The sequence below is a fragment of the Homo sapiens genome, chromosome 7 (genome assembly GCF_000001405.40).
Source record: "Homo sapiens chromosome 7, GRCh38.p14 Primary Assembly".
Taxonomy (NCBI): Eukaryota; Metazoa; Chordata; class Mammalia; order Primates; family Hominidae; genus Homo; species Homo sapiens.
Genome location: NC_000007.14, coordinates 109,935,289 through 109,941,325, shown reverse-complemented (window position 1 = coordinate 109,941,325; position 6,037 = coordinate 109,935,289). Strand labels below are relative to the sequence as shown.

The 6,037-nt window shown below is 39.2% G+C and overlaps 1 annotated feature.

Moving 5' to 3' along the window:
- Positions 1,581 to 2,204: an enhancer, noted in NCBI's record as "NANOG-H3K27ac hESC enhancer chr7:109579179-109579802 (GRCh37/hg19 assembly coordinates)". NCBI's record gives its function as "activates a minimal SCP1, AML or CMV promoter by ChIP-STARR-seq in primed H9 embryonic stem cells {active_cell/tissue: H9 hESC(primed)}" and the evidence as "EXISTENCE:reporter gene assay evidence [ECO:0000049][PMID:30033119]".

The following is a 6,037-nucleotide window of genomic DNA, read 5'->3' as shown; positions in this document are numbered from 1 at the left end:
ATTTCAGGATTCATCACTAAAATTACTCTTGAATACTTCCTCAACTGTCTTGCCTCTCTCTGTCTCTTAGTTCTCTCCTAATAAAACCCAGTGTTGGTTAAATCTAATTCTTGGGCCACTCTACCTTTGCAAACAGCTAAACGGGCTAGACTAGAGAAGAGCATACAACCATGCTGAAAAGTATTACATTGAACTTAAGATCACTAGACCCAAGTTATCTCTTAGTAGAATTGTACAATTATACTATATTTTTGTAGTTCACTCATTTTTTCCAATTTTCTAGAAAGCCATCATATACTTTCTCTTCTCCTATTGCATCTCCAATTCTTCTTCCATCATCCTGTCTCCAAGGAGATTTTAATTCCTATTTTATTCAGGAAATGAAGGCAACCAGAAAACATTTTTTACTTTGCTTCTACTAACACATATCCTAAAGTCATTTGAGACCATACACTCTACCTTCTGTACTCTTAGTTTGGATAAACTGCCTATGCTCCTTTTTTTAGTTCCCCATAGGTACACTAGATCTCATCTCCTCTTGCTCAATTTCTCTGTGAAAAACATACGCAAAATGGTCCTTAAAAGCAACTGCTTATACTTTTATCTCCACGTATTCTCCAGTGAGTTTTTGTCCTTATCACTCCACAAAAAATGTTCATGTCAAGGCTACCAATTATTTCCATGTTGGTAAATTTAGTTGGTCTTCAGGTTACTCAACAATTATTAAAGGATGAGACACCATTGAGCGCTCACTCCTTTTATTCATTTGCTTCTGAGACATCTACTTTTCCTACTTCTCCTCCTATTTCATTGGTAATATAGTTTAGATATTTTTCCTCACCCAAATCTCATGTTGAAATGTAATACCCAATGTTGGAGGTGACGCCCAGTCGTGCATGTTTGGCTCATGGAGAAGATCCCTCATGAATGGCTTGGGCCATCCTCTTGGTGGTAAGTGAGCTTTACCTCTGAGTTCACACAAGTTCTTGACACTTAAAAGTGTGTAGCACCTGACCCAGCACTAGCTCCTGCTTTTGCCTTGTAAGGTGCCTATTTCTCTTTCACCTTATGCCATGACTGTAAGCTTCCTGAATCCTCCCTAGAAGCCAAGCAGATGCCAGCAGCATGCTTCTTGTAAAGCCTGCAGAACTGTGAGCCAATTAAACCTATTTTCTTTAAAAATTACCCAATCTCAGGTATTTCTTTATAGCAATGCAAGAATGGCTTAATACAGAAAATTGGTACTGAGGAATGGGGCACTGTTATGAAGATAACTGAAAATGTGAAAGTGGCTATGGAACTGTGTAATGGGCAGAGGTTACAGGAGTTTGGAGGGCTCAGAAGACAGGAAGATGAGAGAAAGTTTGGGACTTCTTAGAGACTGGTTAAATGATTGTGACCAAAATGCTGATAGTAATTGGACATGAAGTTCAGGCTGAGGAGGTCTCAGATGGAAATGAGGAACTTACTGGGAACTAGAGCAAAGGTCACACATGTGATGGCTTAGCAAAGAGTTTGGCTGCATTGTGTTCATGCCCTAGGGATCTGTGGAAGTTTGAACTAAAGAGAGATGATTTAGGGTATCTGGCAGAAAAAAATTCTATGCAGCAAAACATTCAAGATGTGACTTGGCTACTTCTAACAGCCTATGGTCAGATGCAGAAGCAAGGAAATGAGTTAAAGTTGGAACTTATATTTAAAAGGGAAGCAGAGCATAAACGTTTGGAAAGTTTGCAGCCTAGCCATGTGGCAGAGAAAGAAAAACACCTTTTTTGGGGGGAAGAGGAATTCAAACAGGCTGCTGAGCAAACACTTGCTAGAGAGATTTGCATAACTAAAAAGGAGCCGAGTGCTAATAGCCAAGATAATGGAAAGGAGGCCTCAAAGGCATTTTAGAAATTTTCCAAGCTGCACCTGTCATCACAGGCCCTGATGCCTAGGAGGAATGAATGGTTTCAGGGACCAGTCCCAGGGCCCTGCTGCTCTGTGTAGCCTCAGGACACTGTTCCTCACATACCAGCACCTCTGGATTCAGTCTCAGCCCAAAGGGCCCCAGATAACAGCTTGGGCTGTTCCTCTGGTGGGTACAAGCCATAAGCCTTGGCAGCTTCCATGTGGTATTAAGCCTGTGGGTGTGCAGAGTGTAAAGAGTGAAAAATGCTTGATAGACTCTGCCTGTATTTCAAATGCTGTATGAGAAAGCCTGGATGCACATCAAAGCCTACTGCAGGGTCAGAGGCACCACAGAAAACCTCTATTAGGGAAGTGTGGAAATGTAAGGCTGGAGCCCACATGCAGTGTTGCCACTGGGGCCGTGCCAAGTGGAGCTGTGAGAAGTGGGCTGCTGTCCTCTAGACCCCAGAATAGCAGAATAGTAGATCCACTGGCAGCTTATGCCCTGCTCCTGGAAAAGTACAGGCACTCAAAAACCTGTGAGAGTAGTCATGGGGGATGTAATCTGCAAAGTCACAGGAGCAGAGCTGCCCAGAGCTTTGGGAGCCTACTTCTTGCACCACTGTGCCCTGGATGCAGGGTATGAAGTCAAAGGAGATTACTTTGGAGTCTTAAGATTTAATTACTGCCCTGCTGGATTTCAGATTTGCATGGGTCCTGTAGCATCTTTCTTTGGGGGATTTTTCTCCTTTTTGGAGCAAGGAATGTTTACCCAGTGCCTATACTCACATTGTATCTTGGAAGTAAATAACTTGTTTTGAATTTACGGGCTCATAAGTGGAAGAAAATAAATCTCAGATGAGACTTTTGATTTGAACTGAACTTGAGACTTGAGTTAATGCTGGAATGGATTAAGAATTTAAGGGGGCTATTGAGAAGAGATTATTGTATTTTGAAATGTACAAAGGAGATGAGATTTGGGATGGTCTAGGTGTAAACTGATACAGTTTAAATATGTGTCCCTGACAAAATCTCATGTTAAAATATAATGCTCAGTGTTGGAAGTGGGGCCTTGTGGGAGGTACTTGGATCATGGAGGATGATCCACCATGAATGGCTTGGAATGGCTTGGGCCATCCTCTTGGTGATAGTGAGCTCTTGCTCTGAGTTCACATAATAGGTAGTCATTTAAAAGGGTGTGTCACTCCCCTCCCCACTTTCTTTCTTGTTTGCTTTTGCCTTCACCATGTTAGGTGCCTATTCCTCCTCCACCTTCTACTATGACTGTAAGTTTCCTGAAGCCTCCCTAGAAGCTAAGCAGATGGCAGCACAATGCTTCCCTTAAGCCTGCAGAACTGTGAGCCAATTAAACCTCCTTTTTAAATATAAATTATCCAGTCTCATATATAAGAACAACCTAATACAACTGACAACTTATATTTTCTGTTTCCTCCCAAAGCTTTAAACTTTGGAGTAGCCCAGAGATCAGTCTTTGAATATCGTCTTTCTTTGTTCGTACACATTGTCTTGGTGATCTGATTCATCCCCAAGATTTTCAGATCTCTAAACTGATGCCCACATACTCATCCTTCCAGCCTGAACTTCTACCCTGAACTGGTGCATAGAACAGTCTACTTAACATCCATGTCTGGAAAGCATATACTCTTTTCAAATTTGACAGGCACAAGAACACGCTTTTGTTTTCCCTTACTGCAAAGATGTTTTTCTCCAAATATTTTCCATCTGAGTAAAAGAGAATTCCATCCTTTTAGTTAATGAATCCAAATATTTTGGTGTCTTTTTTGTGTGCTCTCTTTCTTTTACAGACCATATTAAATTGCCATCCATTAGCAAATCCAGTTGATTCTTTCTGTTTTAAAGAATAATCCATCCACTTCTTACATCTCCCATTACTACTGAACAGCCATTATTATATTTTACTTGGATTACATAATGTAACAACTCAATGAGTTCATTTTGCCTCCTGCCCAGAAAAGCCAATACATTAAGAACAACAGATATTGCAGCAAAGAAAGAGTTTAATTATCTCGGGGCCAGCCAAGCAAAAGGATGACAGACATCTCTCAAATTTGCTTCCCTGAAAGCTCAGAGGCTTGGGTTTCTAAAGATAATTTGATGGCCAGGTTTCTAAGAAATGAATACTGCTGATTGGTTGGGGATGAATTCATGGAAGTGTCCAAACTGTTTTCACACACTGAGTCAGTTTCTGGGTGGGAGCCATTTCCTTGTTGTAAGTCAGAGGTTCAGGTGGAGTCAGTCAGTTGTCAGAATGCAAGAGTCTGAAAAACATCTCAAATGTCAATCTTAGGTTTTGATAATAGTTATGTTATATATTGGAGTAATTGGGGAAGATACAAATTTTGTGACCTCCAGAACAGTAAATGATTATAGAAAGAGAAGCTGGAGAACAATAGTTAGTTATCATTTAATGATGCCTATATCTTAGCAGAATTCAGATTTATCCCATAATCCTAATTTTGTGACCTTTAATTAATTTTATAAGGCAATTTCAATCTCTAAGCAAGGAGGGGTTTAGCTTCCAGAAGGACTGTTATTATCTTTGTTTTAAAGTTAACAAAGGCAGTTATCTTGTGAGGCCAGAAGCAAGATGGAATCAGTTAGGTTAGATTTCTCTCACTGCTATAATTTTCGCAAGAGTGATTTCAACAATAATATCCTACCTAACTTTTCTGCTTTTTAATCTCTTCTATTTTGTTAGCCATGGTCTTGAAAGGAAAGAAATAGCACATTCAAATTTATTAATTAGAAGAATTTAATAAAATGTTTATAAAGTTGTTGGTATGGTTGGGAAAAAGCAAAAAGAAAAAAGAAAAAATTGCAGTAGTTGGAGGCTAGTAAAAATAGAGAGTGATTACCACACCCAGGCTTGGAGAATTTAGGACAAGAAGTAGTTATCAGACCCAGGGGAGAGCTACATGGTAGGGGCTATGGCTATTGGAAGTGCTGGTGAAACATAATGAAAAACAAAATCTGTCAGTTCTGAAAAGTTCTTTACAAAGGTAAAAGGAAAAAAAATTATTATTGAATAAGCATTAAACTAGAACATGACTTGCATCATAGGCAATTTGCTAAGAGATTTCAAAGACAGTAAAAAAACTCAGTCTTTTATTCAATATAATACATATATATTCACAAGATAATAACTTGTCCTCAAGTAAGAGGACTTGACAGCAACATTTGTCATAAACACTTCATCATAAATTTGCCTGGCTATTAGGGTGGCCATCAGTGTTAGTTAATTGATTATATACGAGGGAAAACTAAACCTCACATTTCTTAATGACAGGAGATAGTTTTGCAACTTACAGTGAGGTGCCTACTTAGTTACCCTTCCACTAAAATCTGAAGATAATAGCACTATCTTCTTTGACTACATTTCAAAGAGATAGTCCCCACATATTTAAGTAAGACATTTTTGAGGTAAAAGCTAGCAAAACTCTTATCTAGGTCTTAAAAAGATATACATACATTTCAAATAGATAGAGACAGAATATATAATTACAAGTTTTCTAAGTAAATACTCTAAAGGAGGGGAGGGAAGTCTCTTTCCTTGTTTGCAAAAGGGAGTATGAAACCCCTTATTTTTAATTTGTATTTGACCTTACAAGCAAGATGGAGGAAACCCACAATGACTTCTCAGAAAAGCCAAAGAAATAGTTATCTTGACCTCACTCTTCTTATAGCTTCTAGATCTCCTCTCAGTGCCTCCCTATTAGTGTCTGAATCTTGGCTTTCAGATTTTTGTGAAAGCAATGACTAAAACACATACTCACCTACAGGTATATCATTCAGTAGGTGACACAAGAAGTGAGTAGGAGGAACCAGAAAGAATGAAATAAGAAAAGGAAAAGTTAATACAAACGTGCATTGCTGAATTTGGTCCTCTCCAGAGGCAACTGGGGCTTCATCCTTCTTGGGATTTCTCGGTAACACACAGAATGACTCTTAGATAGGTCAGCAAAAGATTAATGGGAAAAAGCATTTATCCATCACTCCCATTTCCCATTGTTTGAGGGTTAACACGGGGTATTAACTTCTTCCACACTTTCAACTGTGCTTGTAGCAATACGATGTGGGCTTCTGCTGTCATCTCATGTCACAG